This window comes from Homo sapiens, chromosome 1 (assembly GCF_000001405.40).
Source record: "Homo sapiens chromosome 1, GRCh38.p14 Primary Assembly".
NCBI lineage: Eukaryota > Metazoa > Chordata > Mammalia > Primates > Hominidae > Homo > Homo sapiens.
This window is the reverse complement of record NC_000001.11, coordinates 183,433,615-183,448,903: the sequence shown is the minus strand read 5'-3', so window position 1 is coordinate 183,448,903 and position 15,289 is coordinate 183,433,615. Positions and strand designations below refer to the sequence as shown.

The following is a 15,289-nucleotide window of genomic DNA, read 5'->3' as shown; positions in this document are numbered from 1 at the left end:
AATGGGAAGAAACTGTTATGTATTCATTCTGTGATAGACAGTACAGAAATTAAAATGACTGACTTTATATCAATATATGGATATATTTTGACTGCAACATTAAGTTGCAGCATATTATATCCATATGATACTGTGTGCATATACTTTTAAAAAACAATACAAGATATTGTGTTTTTCTACAGTTATGTCAAACAAAAGCATATCAACATGGACTAGCAGATTTGCACCAAATTCATGATAGTGATTACCTCTGGGGGTAAAGAAAGTAAAGGAATTGTGCTAGGAAGGACATATGGGAGACTTGACCTTTATCTTTATTTCTTTAAAAAATACTTTGATGGAAATATGAAAAGACAGTAACATTAGTTCATTTGGGGTGATAAGTACGTGGATGGTTTATATTATTGTTCATACTTTGAAATATTTTGTTTGTTTTCATGAAAGGACAAAGAAAGACTGAGTGATGTGAGTGATGTCTAGGAGCATGGGCCCAAGCCAACCTCATGCAGCAGTGCAGCAGAGGAATGACTTCCTGTGCACTTGAGGGCCTGAAGGAGTTGACAGCCTGGCAGCATCCAGCATGCTCTGACAGTCAGATGGTTGATGATGGTGATCTGCAGACTGCCAGTGCAAGGAGAAGGTGGCTGCAGTATGTGTGGCAGGGGTCCCTGAAACCCCGTCCACCCCCTACTGCATAATACAATCCCCAAACTCTGAAAATGTAGATACAATCCAGAGAAAGGCAGAGAATTTGCCAAGATTATATGTTAAGATGGAGGCTTGCAATTGAAGTTGAATTTATTCACAGAAAAATTAAGTATTTCATAAACATCTAAGTTTATAGTGCATGTTTATGTTAGGAAAGAAGGAAGCAAAGATGGATAGTGATATAGTTAAATTTCTCACTGGGGAGAAAAGTGGGTAGTCTTGGGTGGAGAAAGAGGAAAGGGGAAAGGCCTAGTCAATTGAGAGAACAAATGTGGTGACAATAATGAAATGAGGTGGATGGAAGGCCAGAAGCTGTGATCAAATGGTAAGAGGCATGAATCTGAAATTTGGGAGGTTGAATGGCTCCAGCTGATTTTAAGGTCCTGGATGTGGCCACCAGACTAGCAGGCTGAGGTAAATCAGAAGTGGAGACAACTGTAGTCTCCCTCTTTTCTCCTGATTTATATTTAGTGATTTACAAAAGAAACGTTTTCCCTTTATTTTCTAAACTGTGATCATGGATGGATCGGTAATGAAAGTATTCTTCTCACTGTTCAGTACTTTCTTATTCCATGGAATTACAGAAATCACAGAATTGTGAAGCTAGAAAACTCTCAGGAGATTATGGGTTTTCCTCCTTTTCTAAAAGTGTCCGTCAGAATTATGTATGTGTAATCCTTCTTGGTAGAAAGTGTCTTTAATTTGTTGTTGTTGTTGTTGAGACGGAGTCTCGCTCTGTCGCCTGGGCTGGAGTGAAGTGGCGCGATCTCGGCTCACTGCAAGCTCCGCCTCCCGGGTTCACACCATTCTCCGGCCTCAGCCTCCCGAGTAGCTTGGACTACAGGTGCCTGCCATCACGCCTGGCTAATTTTTTTATATTTTTAGTAGAGATGGGGTTTCACTGTGTTAGCCAGGATGGTCTCGATCTGCTGACCTTGTAATCCACCTGCCTGGGCCTCCCAAAGTGCTGGGATTACAGGCGTGAGCCACCGTGCCTGGCCGTCTTTAATTTTTTGAAGTAACCTACTTAAATCTCAAATTACTTTTTATCTAAGGTAAACTTATTATTTTAATTCAGCACCACTCTACTTACCTGAGTTGCAACTTCTCTCTTTGGTTCCTGCATTATAAACACACACACACACACACACACACACACACACACACATATAATTTTCACCTATCAAACTGTAAAAGATTAAAACATTTGATAAGATATTGTTTTGATGAAAGTTTGAGGAAGTAGTCAGTCATAAATAGTTGATGGATGTGTAAGGGATGGAGAGAAAGTTGGAAATATCTTTCAAAAGTAAAAATGCACATACATATTGACACATATTCCATGTCTAGGTATTTATCCAGTGAGTCTGTTCAATGCAATATTGTTAATAATACAAAAGATTGGCAACAACATATATATCCCTCAATAGAATGGCAAAACAAAATGGCACAGGCATTCAGTGAACAACACTCAGCTGTTAAAATAGCCACGTCACTAGCTCTCCATATGGAGAGGTAGCTAAGATATCTTGATAAATGAAAAGATAAAGTAAAATAGAGAGTAGTATGTATATTACGCTACCATCTGTGTAAAAAAAGAAAAATTATATATGTTTAAAAATACATATATACATTTTTATATATAGAATGTCCATGGAAGGAAATTTAAGAAATTGGTAATAGTGGTTGCCTCTGCGGAGGAAAACAGAATCACTGAGAAAAAAGAGAAACTCACTTTTCACGATATGCCTTTTGATTTTGTATACATGAGTGTGTTACCTATTCAAAAATAAACAAAAAAAAGTTTAAAGTCCACACCCAAGCAGAGACACTATTTATTAATTAAATGTAGATACCTCCCCTACACACACTTATGAGACTCTGTGCCAGTGATTCTTGTATTTTTTAAAAGAAATATATCACACAGTCAAGCGTGGTTCCTTCAAAGAGAGCATCACCCTGCTGACTGAGTCCCCTTCTTTTAAAGAGAACAGGCAACTTCTCAAGGGATATTATCTGTGGATCATTAAAGGCCCATCTAACTCAAAACATTTCCTTTTGTTAACTTGTCCCAGTTCTGGAAATCCCTACCCATGGAACTTCTTTTATTTTTATTTTAGGATAAAGGCATTACATTTTCAGGAAGTCCCTGTCAGGCTGCAAATATGTAACCTGGCTAACCTGGAGACATTAGGATGGATATTTTTGTTGGTTCCCTAGCAGAAAGCTGTTTCTTGAAAAATAAGATTGGTTTGGTGGGAGGGAGTTTAAAGACACTGATGCATGCAGTCCTGCAGAGAAAAGTTTACGTCCTGGAGATTTACCAAATGAGAGTTTCTGGGTAGTAACAGGCATCATGAAGGTAATGAGCATTTGGGAGCACTGAAGGAAGGGATGAAGCTTTGTAGAGTGTTACATACAAACCCTACCCAGTTTTTATGAAGCAAGCCATGATTGTATAGTAGGGTGAAGTCCTACACCAAAATTATAGGAAGGCCAAAAGTCACAGTAATTGAATACAGGTTGACAGTAGGCCAGTGCCCTTCAGTATTTTTTAAAGCTATCACAGTAATATAACCTGTTATGAGGTGATTTTAGATACATCATCTGCCCCAATATTAGCCAATGTATGTTCTGAATAATACCAGTCTCTTGGAATGTTAATAGTTGTTGCTAAAATGTGTTTTATGATCAAATAATTTTGGGCAACAGTAGTTTAAGCAGAAATTTTTTTCTTGTTGGAACTTCTCAGAGCCTATAGCATGCAAGTGGGTATTTTTCCAAGGGAAAAACAATTATACACTGTGCCCAAAATTGTCTTCTCACAGAACTCTTTTTTATCACCGTGCATCTCATGCACTAATGTTAGGTGGGACACTTGGGAATCGCTGAGCCTTCCTACTCTTGCCCTGGCCTCCCATTTCTATCCTGATGATCATTTTCACCTTGTCTTACCTTGCCCTCCCCTGAATCATTACATAACCTCTATTATGATGTTCACACTAGGAAAATAATGATGAGATCAAAAGTGATGATGACCTTCACAGAAGGACTTCCTTCCCACTTATTACCATACTCCTATGCGTGAGTAAAGGCTCTGCATTTTTTGAAGAAACTACAGTCTGTAATAAGACTCAGACCAATGTGAGATTGAAGCAGGCCTTAATACTACAATTGTCAGTGAAGCCTGTCCTTTAGGTATCATGATGCTCTCTGTAATTATCCTTTGCCTTCTTGTAGGCCTCAAAAACTGGCTTGGCACTAGGGCTCTCTGAAGCAATCATTGTGTCTTTTTCTACCCTTCCACATTTGATTCTTCTAAGTTCCTAAATCCTTTAAGGCTAAAATTAAGTTTCGTTAGAGTTAGAAACTCCAGACCATGGAAGGCCACCCATCTCTGGACAGTACCTACTGCAAATATTGCATTATTTGGGACTGGGACAGCTCTGGTCAACATAATCTCCGAGGGTCAGAGATAGCAGTCAATGATAGCACCACTTATTATTTTCCTCAAGAGAGGCTGCTTACATATATATTTGTAAAATCAGAATAAGGCTTTCTGTAGCCTTAGAGTCCATCCGAATATTTTGTCTCATTCAAAAGAATCACAAATCCACCTTTAATGAGCTTTGAAAAATAATTTATTTTCACTGAAGGCTCTTGAAGAAGTAGCAAAGTGATGAATCACATCCCATCGCAAACAATGGAACTTAGTCAAAATCCTTCTTTCCTATTTCCCCAAAGCCCCACGCTGCAGAGCAGCTGCTGTCCAAATGCTCCTGCTCAGATTTCAATCACTCTCTTCACCTCTCACCTCCCTACTTTCTCTGTCCCTTTCCCCTTCCTTCCAGATCTTTTCCACTGCAGGTAATTCTTATCTTTTTTTTTCTTTTTAATGTAAATTGCTTTAGCTTCTCCTTCAGTTCTTCTTTCTGTCCCTTACCAACTTTTCTCCCTATTTCTTTCCCCGACTTACCCCTTAGACTCAACAAGGAAGCTGGAGGAGAACAGAAGAAGGGAACATGATCAAGTCTTACAAGTTACTCTTTTTCTCTGACACATATATCTTATATAATACATATGACATTACACATATGTAACATGCTATATACAATATATATGATATATATTATGTTATGTAATATGTCTAGCAGAGCCTCATTATAACAGTCTTTGCCATCTGTCCTGTAAAGCTGCTAAATTAATGGACCAATTAGGTATTTTTTTTTCTGATGCTGTAGTAACTACTTCCCTTTTTAAAGTTTATACTTTTAACTCAATTGCATAGTATAGCAATAGTTTTCTAAGGAATTTCTCCAAAGACTGTGTAATTAAACTGTGTGCAATCAAAGCAAATGGACAGAATTATAGGAATATTGGTCATTCATATTAATAAAGCTATCCAACTATCTTTCCCTGGTCAGATAGTCTGAGCTCACATGGGAAGGCCCTTTTGTGTCTTATTTGTGCTGAAGAAGATAAGGAAAGCATTGAGTAAGAACTAGGTCAGGTCCCTTCCACTGCTTATCACAGTCATCAAAGCAAATTTCTTAGGCTTAGAAGTTTCTCGTCTTTTAAATGGATTTGCTGTTCTTTTTTCTTTTATACAAACCAGAATGGCATTTGCTAATCATCTCACTTTCAAGCAAGTTTACATATCATAGTGTGTGTATGTATAGATTTATGTGAATTTTCTCAAATCACACAAAATTATTTTTGGCTTGCATGTTTAATTATTTGCTGGGCAAATACTTCGTATGTAAACTCTGCAAAAACATATTTCTAGGCTGAGTATAAAATTTTAGAATCAAAAGTAGGAATTTCTTCAGAGAGATGCTAAACTTGAAAAAGAATAGAAAATGTCGGAATATACTACCCAATCCCCTGCTGCTTGATCTTTGTCAGAGTGAAATCAGGATTCAGTGATGAGGACCACATCCTGTTGCCATGGAAATGATTGTGCTGTCACAAATATAGTACTATGACTTCATGGTAAAGAGGAACAGATGGTCTGGAAGAGAATGAAGGCCTAAGGTTAGCACAATTGTTTGGGGAATAAGTCATCTTAGATTCTTTTTGGAAGTAGGTAGAAGCACAAATAATAAGCAAAAATGACTTCACTGTAGCTTTGCAAAAGCCGCTGAGTAAGAAAGAGCTTAGCCAAGGTAAAACTACAAAGCTCTTTTCCAATGAAAGAAAAAAACATTTTAATATAGGATGAAGCACAGGTAACAATACAAAACAGCTTTACAAGTCCATATTCCAAAGTTGCCGCTCCACCCTTCCCCAGCCTCTCACTTGACCACTGTTGAAGTAACTAGCACCTAGAATGCTTAGGGCCAGTGGTAAGCATTAAAAACAAAAACAAAAACAAAAAAAACAGAAACGAGGCTGAAATAGACCGAAACAATATTTGCCATCATTTTTACAATGCCTCATTTTTAGGTATTTCTGGTTTTAGTGTTGGTTTGATTCAGGCATCCTGGATCATATACCTCCAAACAGCCTCAAAACACAGGATTGGATAGTTGAGCTGGTAGGTGTAGGGCCTGCACAGTCAAATCAGGGGCATGTGTAGCTCACTCACCTTGCCCCTGAGTGATCGTGTGTCCAGACCTGGTTCTCCAGCCATGATGACACTCTGAAAACCACTCTCCACTAACAGGACAATGAAACCACGGTGTCCTCAGCTACTCAGAACTGACATTGGTTAGAAGCACTAACTTTTAAAAGGGTCAGCCTGGTATCTTCTCATCATGATATTGTTCATTTAAAGGGCAAAGAAATTTCCCACGCTTATTGTTATGGTCTGAATATTTGTGTCCCTATCTAATTCATATATTGAAATCCTAACTCTTAAGATGATGGTACTGTTAGGAGGTGAAATTGTGCCACAGAGTTAAAGAAGCCAGTGAATAACAGAAATTCTTGAGCTTGTATGAGAGCAGATAAGAAAAGAAACAACTTGCCGAAATGCTGAAACTCCCTCTGCTTGTGATATTTAAAAAAAGAAAAAAAAAAAAAAGGCTGAAATTGATTGGAACCAGCATGGTCAACTGGAGTCTTTGCAGGATAAAATTTTCATTTCCACCATGTTTCCTACTAAGTTCCCCAAATTTGCAAATGTGATTCATGAGGTAGCATGAAGAGATAATTGTGCATGCCTGAGGACTTTCCAGACCTCCCCTTTCTTTCCACCAATCACCTACTAATCCCAGAATCTACCCCATAAACCCTTTCTAATAAAATGACTGCCTTAAAGCCAGCACAGGGAGACAGATTTGATCTGGACTCTTCTCTCCTTGTTGACTGACTCACAATAAAAGCTTTTCTCAAAAACCTGGTGCCATAGTATTGGCTTCTAGTGCCTTGGGTCTAGTGCCTTGGGTAGTGAGCCCTTTTGCTCAGTAACAGTGGGGCCTTTGGGGAAGTGATTAGGTCATGATCTTCATGAATGGGATTAGTGCCCTTATAAAAGGGACTGAAGAGAAACCTCTCACCCCCTTCATCAAGTGAGGACACACTGAGAAAGTGCCTGTGAACCAGATCCTTACCAGATATTGAATCTGCTGGTGCCTTCATCTTGGACTTCCCAGCCTCCAGAACTTTGAAAAATTGCTGCTGCTTATAAGCCACCAAGTTTATGGTACTTTGTTATAGCAGCCTGAATGGACTAAAGCAATTATAAATGCCACTACAATCACTTATCCTTAGAAAAACACTTTTTATTTGGAGTAGAGGCAACAAGAGAGATTTCCCAGCACTATCATTCTCTTGCGTTATCAAGTGAATTAACCAAGAGAAGCTAACATGAGATACTAGCTAGTATGTGCCAATGCAAGTACTTTTTAAAAACATTTATTTTGAAATAAGCTCAGATTTACAGAAAAGTTGCAAATATAGTGCAGAAAGTTCATGGACATCCTTCATCTAGTTTCTGCTAATGTTATATAACCACAGTACAGTGATTGAAATTGTGAAATTATTGGTGCCATACTGTTAATTAAACTGCAGACTTCATTCAGATTTCACCAATGTTTCCTTTTTGGTTCTGAGATCTAATGCAGGAGACCGTGTCACATTTAATCATCATGTCTAAGTCTCCCTCAATCTGTTCCTCAGCCTTGTTTTATCATGACCTTGACAATTTTGAAGACCACTCATCAAGTATTTCATAGAATATCCCTGAATGGGGCTTTCTCTGAAGTTTTCTCATGATTGGACTGAATTATGGATTTTTGGAAAACAATATCATGGAGGTAGAGTGGTCCTCTCATCACATCATATTGAGGGTACATGATCAATATAACTTGTTTACTGATGACGTTAACTGTGATCACTTGGTTAAGGTAGTGCCTGCCAGGTTTCTTCACCGTAAAGTTACCATTTTCCCTTTCCATTCTCTATTCATTCGAAACAATCAGTAAGTCCAATCTACACTCAAAGTAAGTGAGCTACACATGCCCCTGATTTGACTGTGCAGGCCCTACACCTACCAGCTCAACTATCCAATCCTGTGAAGTGAATCAGGCTTCACCTTCTAGACGAAGGTTTATCAAATAATTCGTGGACATATGTTTAAGCTACCACAATAATTAATAAATATTTTTTTGATGAGATACTTTGAGGCTACACAAATATGCTGCTTCTCCTTAAGGTTTTACCTACAAATTTTAGTGGATCTTACCTGCAGCAGTTATTACTAAGGTGCTCTAGTGGTGATTTTAAATGTCCCTCATTCCTTCTACACTTATAATTTAGAATTCTTCTCTAAGGAAGGTTTGCTCTTCTTCCCCTAATTTATTTGTTTATTCATTTACTTATTTGTACTCATTCCATACTATTGTATGGAATGAAATTACATTTTATCTATCTATCTATCTATCTATCTATATATATATATAGTTTGTTTGGATTGTAATCCAATTTTGGGTTATTGGGGGTGGTTTCAGGTTGGCTCCTGTGTCTTGTTTGTTATGCCCTATACAGGAAAGAATCAACAAAGAAGCAAACCCAAGGCTGATATCCTTAGAAGAGGCTGCTTAAAGATTGACTCTTTCCTGACATCTGGGAACCTGGCTTGTGAAAAGTTCCCCAAACCAACATGAAAAGTCTCCTGTATTGATAAGGCTGTTTTGCCCTTGAGGCACTGAATTACCACTTCCTTCAGAGAGTCTGATATTTTGACAGTTTCCAGGCAGAGAATGCCTTTTAGCACTAGCCCCCAAGAAAAACCCTAAACTCTGAGTCTCAAATGGGACACACACACACACACACACACACACACACACACACACACATTGAATTCATATTGTCATTGCCAACTTTATTTAGAACCACAGGATTTATTTCAGTCTTCTCTGCTTGCTTGTTTGTAACTTTTTTCTCTGACAGTGAGAAAGCTGGCTTCCATTAACTACAATTTATTTACTTATTTGTTCAGCCTTAGTATACATGTAAAGTAGTTTCAGAACTGCTAACTTATACTCCTGCCTGAAACATAATGACCAATTAAAGAAAAGCATTTATGCACAGTTGATTTTGCTTTAGCTTTACAGTATCCAGTTAAAACACATTTCCAAAGTTACTTAGGTCAGCTCCTTTTTCCCCAACCGTTTTAGTCAGGTTATGTCATATAATTGTAACACAGATTTGTCAGTCTGCATTTCATCCTGGAATCTCCCCACATCGTGGTTGATTTTTTAAAAAAATGTACACAGTAAATTTCACTTAGGTTTATAATACATTATACCTTAGTTAGAATAAATGTACCTTTTGTGAATGTGGACAAATGCATAGAGTCATGAATCTACCACCACAGTATCTTGCAAAACTGTTCTATTACCCTAAAAATTGTCTTGTGTGATCCCTTCGCAGTCAACCTCTTCTCAACACATGGCAACCACTGATCTGTGTTATCTGTCTCTAGAGCTTTGCCTTTTGCAGAATGTCATGTTAATAAAATAAAATAGGTTGTGATCTTTTAGGTCTGGCTTCTTTCACTTAGCAAAAATTTATTTAAGATTCATCTATGTTGTTGTGTGAATCAATAGTTAATTTCTTTTTATTGCTGAGTAGTATTCCATTGCATGATATACCACAATATGTTAATCTGCTTACCTCTTGAGGATATCTCAGTTACTTCTAGTTTTTGGTAATTATGAACAAAGCTGCTATAGATATTCATTTATAGGTTTCTATAAATGCAAGTTTTCAATTCACTTTGATAATTACCTAGGAGTGGTATTGTTGGGCCACATGATAAGTGTATGTTTAACTTTGTAAGAAACTGACAAACTCATTCTGCCATTTTGCATTACCACAAGGAATGAACAAGAGTGCTTGTTGCACCATGTCTTAACCAGCATTTTGAATTATCATTTTTTAAAAAGTTGCCATTCTAATAGGTATGTTGAGGTATCTTATTGCAGTTTTCATTTGCGTTTCTCCAATGACTATTGTGAGCATCTTTTCATATGCTTATTTGCCACTTGTGTATCTTCTTTGGAAAAGTATCTGTTCAGATCTCTTTTTGTCTTTAATTTATTATTAAATTGCTTTATTTGTTTTTCTTGTTATGAGTTCTTTGTATTTTGGTTGTAAGTCCTTTATTGATATAAGATTTGGAACTTTTTCTGTAGCTTGTATTTTTATTCTACTAACAGCATTTTTGTGTGTGGGGGGGGGGGAGGGCATGTTTGGTGGAAAAGCCAAAGTTTTTAATTTTGTTGGGTCCCGTTTTCATATTTTTCCTTTTATGGATTGTGCTTTTGGTCTCATATCTAAAAACTCATCACCAAACCCAAGATCATACAAAATGCTGTTTTTCTTCTAGAAGTTTTTTATTTCTACATTTTACATTGAGGTGTATGATCCATTTTGAGTTCGTTTTTGCATAGGTGTAAGGTCCTTCCTCTTTCTTTTCCTTTTCTTTTTTCCTTCCCTTTCCTTTTTCTTCCCTTTCCCTTTTCCTTTCCCTTCCCTTTCCCCTTCCCCTTCCTTCCTTCCTTCCTTCCTTCCTTCCTTCCTTCCTTCCTTCCTTTCTTTTCTTTCTCTTCCTTTCAATGTCAAATTATTCCAGTACCATTTGTTGAAAACACTGTATTTTCTCTGTTGAATTGAATTTGAATCTTGTCAAAAATCAACTGATGGCTGGGCGCGGTGGCTCACTCCTGTAATCCCAGCACTTTGGAAGGCCGAGGTGGGTGGATCACGAGGTCAGGAGATCAAGACCATCCTGGCTAACATGGTGAAACCCCATCTCTACTAAAAATAAAACAATAAAAAAAAATTAGCCAGGTGTGGTGGCGGGTGCCTGTATTCCCAGCTAATCGGGAGGCTGAGGCAGGAGAATGGCGTGAACCTGGGAGGCAGAGCTTGCAGTGAGCAGAGATTGCGCCACTGCACTCCAGCCTGGGTGACAGAGCCAGACTCCGTCTCAACAACCAAAAAAAATCAATTGACTGTATATGAGTGCATTTATTTATGGGCTATGTATTCTATTCCTTTGATCTTTATATATTATATTAATATAGTAGTATTAATATCATAATTATAATATTCCCTGTCTAGTTCTAACATCTATGTCATATCTGGTCTAGTTATGATTATTACTTTGTCTATTCAGGCTGTCAACCTAGATGTTTCAATTAATTATAGAAATGATCCTTGAAAGTATAGTATTAGCTGAGATGTTTTAAATACATTATGTTAAAGTTTTCAAATGGATCTAAAAGTTCAAGGAGAATTTTAAAGTATATGTTTATATTTTATGATCATCTAATATAAGATTATTCTGGATCTTGTCATGCAGTGTTAGTCACCATGTTTGTTTCCAGTTTAGTGTATATCAGTGAATACCCATAGTAACAGCATATAATATTTAATGAGTGGGAAAGCATGTTATGTCAGACTTCTGTTAACTTTGCATGTCTTAAATTTAAAGTCATTATTATCCTACATGTATCGCTGTGCTCCTGTGGATTAATTTTACCAGTTTCACAGACAAAACTAGTTTTTTATAGTGTTTATGTTAATTAGACTTTTTTATAAAAATACTTTATTTAATAACGTGAAATTTTGGTTAAACATGATGAAAATGACATAGTACCAGCTAATGCATTGTGGCCAACCTAATATGTAAATTTCTTATATGCATCAAGTGAAGGCTAAATGATGTCATGCTAGGTGTACAAATGAAGTGCTGCTGGTAGATCAAACAGAGAAGAAGAATGAGATAATTAAATAATCTGCACTATAACGTCCATTTCACATTACAAGTGCATATTTTCACTTTGCAAGAGTATATATAAGCAATGCAATATATGCACTTGCAATGTGACAGAAAGCAAAAGAAACTCACATTGCCCTCTCCTCCTCTTTTGGAATTGGCAGCCTCAACCTGAGTCCTTTGAGCAGAGGCAGACCTTCCATAAACTTGTAAGGAAGCAATGCAGTTACCTGTGATGGCACAAGGGTGCTTGGCAAAGTGGGTAGGTGGGACTCGACACCTGGAGGTGTCGAAGCACCTAGTTTCCAAGTTACATAGAAGCACCAAATGGACTAATGGTGGCTCTGGTTGAATAATGCTTTCTGGGTCAGGTGTGGTGGCTCATGCAACCTCAGGGATTTGGGAGGCCAAGGTGGGAGGATTACTTAAGGCCAGGAGTTACCGACCAGCCCAGACAACATAGTGAGACCCCTGTCTCTTAAAAAAAAATAATAATAATAATTTAATTTTTATTTTAGGTTTGGAGGTACATGTGAAGGTTTGTAACATAGATAAACAGGTGTCACAGAGGTTTGTTGTACATATTTTTATAGGTACATCACCCAGGTATTAAGCTCAGTATCCAATAGTTATCTTTTCTGCTTCTCTTCCTCCTCCCACTCTCTCCCTCAAGTAAACCCCAGTGTCCGTTGTTTCCTTCTTTGTGTTCATAAGATCTCATCATTTAGCTCCCACAAAAAAAAATTTTTTTTTAAGTAGCTGGGTGTGGAGGCATGTGCCTGTAGTCCCAGCTACTCCAGAGGCTGATGCAGGATGATCACCTGGGCCCAGTAGTTCAAGGCTGTAGTGATCTGTGATTGTACCACTGTACTCCAGCCTGGGAAACAGAGTGAGATGTTGACCAAAAAATATATATATATCCTTTCCTTTGCTAGGTCTGTTGTATCCACCAGGATACATATAGCTGCAAGTCACAGAACACATGACAAATAGTGGCTTAAGCAATTAACACTATATCTGGCGATAGATGGTTCTGGGGTTGGGAAGTGGCTCCACAATGCCATTAAAGATCAATTATTTTCTCCATGCTGACACCCTCAGAGTCTTCAAAGTTTATCTCATGGTAATAAAATTGCTGCTGCAGCTCCAAGATTACATCTTCATACAGTTGCATTGAACCCTCATCTGTTTTGATCAGGAATAAAAGTCATTCCCAGAAGTAAACTCCTCCTCCCACCCCAGCAGACTTCCCCTCATATATCATTGGCCAGAACTGGGTCACATAGTTACACTGGCTTTAAAGAGAGCTGGGAATGATAGCCTAAAAAGGAAGAAGAGTTGGCAACCAACAGTGTCCACAATACTCAGAAAAAAAAAGTCTCTTTTCCACTTTCTGTCTCAAACGCAACCCTCAAGTTTAGTTAGAAAAAAAGCACCTCAACCGCTCTTCTTTTTGATTCTGGAATTTCTTTCTTAAATAACTTTGTAATCTCTATACTAATATCTAATTTATTTAGACTAATTGGAAACAAGATAAATTTGTTCATTTGAGATTTTTTAAATTATGGAATAATTTTAGCAACATGCATATTTACCACTTTAAACTGCAGCTTATTGGTAAGGACTGGGCTAAATAGGGAAGGCCAAGAACTAATCTTTAATGATGGACGCTTTAATGAATAAACACTAATCACCTGGGATAATTTCATTATTTGTATACAAAAGTATCTATCAATCTTCTTAAGCATTTTTTTTTTCTGAACTCCCCCTCTGCAACCCTGTTTAAGATATGTGTCATTTGTGTGGCGGGGAGGGAGGGGGGACGGGGGTGGCAAAAAGTTAATCAAGGCAGCAACTAAAGGTAACCTAGATAAATTAACCCAACATTGGCTTCTTACTGTATCCATAACTTGGCTTTTCTTTGTTTATACAGAAAGACTCTTTCTGTTAAAAATGTATTTTTATTCACTCCATCTTATTTCTGGTACATTTTTTTTTTTACTCAAAAGCTTTGCGAGCCTAAAAATGCGAGTGTAAATTAAATTTTCCTAAATCTTGAAGCATGGATGTCCAATCAGGATCTTGGTATGTAGAGAAATTCTATATGTGAATCTTTCTCTCAAACAAAAAATTAAATAATCACTCCCTAAATATAGATTTACATATATGAAGTTTGACTAATATATGATATACTTCTCTACTTTAGTTTTTCTTACTTGTATTATTTTCAATAATATGCACATTTCTCATAACAAAAGTTCCTGTTAAGACAACTCCCTCGTCACACACACATACACACACACATCACACACACACACCAAAGAAACAAACACTCTAAATCCCGCTTTATGTTCAGAAAAACCCTATCTTGCTCAAACTTGCCTTTTTTGTTAATGGAGCTTTTAGGAAAAGGTATGAGTGAGCTTCATTCTTCCCACTCTGAACCCCATTTCCAAGATTGATAAATTAAATCTGATATGGGTCATTTTCATATGAAAAATACTTTCTTTTCTTTCAGTGTCCTGCGTTTGCTAAATAGCAGAATGGCAAGAGAATAGAGAGAACAGTGTGTCCAAGTTAACCACTAAGGGAGTTACTTACACATTGCATTGTGAAATTGCCTCCTTTTTGGTAGCATATTTAATTTTAATCCACATATGGCTTCTGCACTTTTTGCAGAGAGGCTAAGAAAGCAAAAGACTCATCATTCCTGATTATTCAAAGTTTGATTACTTCCGAATACCCTTTCAGTGCCATTGATATGAAGAAATAAACTCTCTACTATGTATTAATGACACCTTCTGTAGGTGATGAATTTGCTCAAATCATCTTGGAAACCACTTCAGCTTATACTCTTTAGGGCCTAAAGGAAGATTTTAAAGCATTTTCATTGCAACTGGCCTGCACTTACCTTCTGTCAGGAAGTCTTCTTTGAAAGAGATATGCTGAGCCTGAGACCTCCCAAAGCCTCACAGTTGAAGGGCTAGGGAGGCCTTGGCAGGGGTGGGGTGGGTGAGAGGAGGGAGCAGAACAAGGACACTGATGATCACAGGCAGTGAGTGCTGCCCTACCCACCCCACACACGACTGGAATTCCAACTGGTGGGACTCTGGCTGGCAGTCACTTTCAGATAAGCTGGTGTCCTTAGCCTGCTGGACATGTCACTAGGCTGCAAAGTGGGGTAGTGCAGCAGCTCTTTCTGTCCTCATCCAGGCTTGTTATCATGAGTGAGGGTCAAGAGAGATCAAAGATAGCAGCTGGATACTCTCACTTACATTACAGTGCTGCAGTGGAGAGGCAGTTGTGTACCCCGATCCATAAGTCTTCTTTCAAAAAGGCAGCAGGGACTCA

The 15,289-nt window shown here is 37.8% G+C and overlaps 1 long non-coding RNA gene across 3 annotated transcripts in view, besides 1 other annotated feature; it reads right to left on the bottom strand.

Moving 5' to 3' along the window:
- The window catches only part of LOC105371646 (uncharacterized), a 28,994-nt gene extending 13,980 nt beyond the window's left edge, over nucleotides 1-15,014 (bottom strand). For 2 of the 3 annotated variants that reach the window (XR_007066764.1, XR_922350.2), the window contains exon 1: nucleotides 14,850-15,014. This is a non-coding gene — a long non-coding RNA (uncharacterized LOC105371646). Of the gene's footprint in view, nucleotides 1-5,584; nucleotides 5,720-14,849 lie in introns of all 3 variants that reach the window. The other variant, XR_922351.2, reaches the window with a different exon arrangement.
- Nucleotides 5,164-5,364: a silencer, noted in NCBI's record as "peak501 fragment used in MPRA reporter construct". NCBI's record gives its function as "represses an SCP1 promoter by STARR-seq MPRAs in K562 erythroleukemia cells {active_cell/tissue: K562}" and the evidence as "EXISTENCE:reporter gene assay evidence [ECO:0000049][PMID:32103011]".
- Nucleotides 15,015-15,289: the final 275 nt, after the last annotated feature.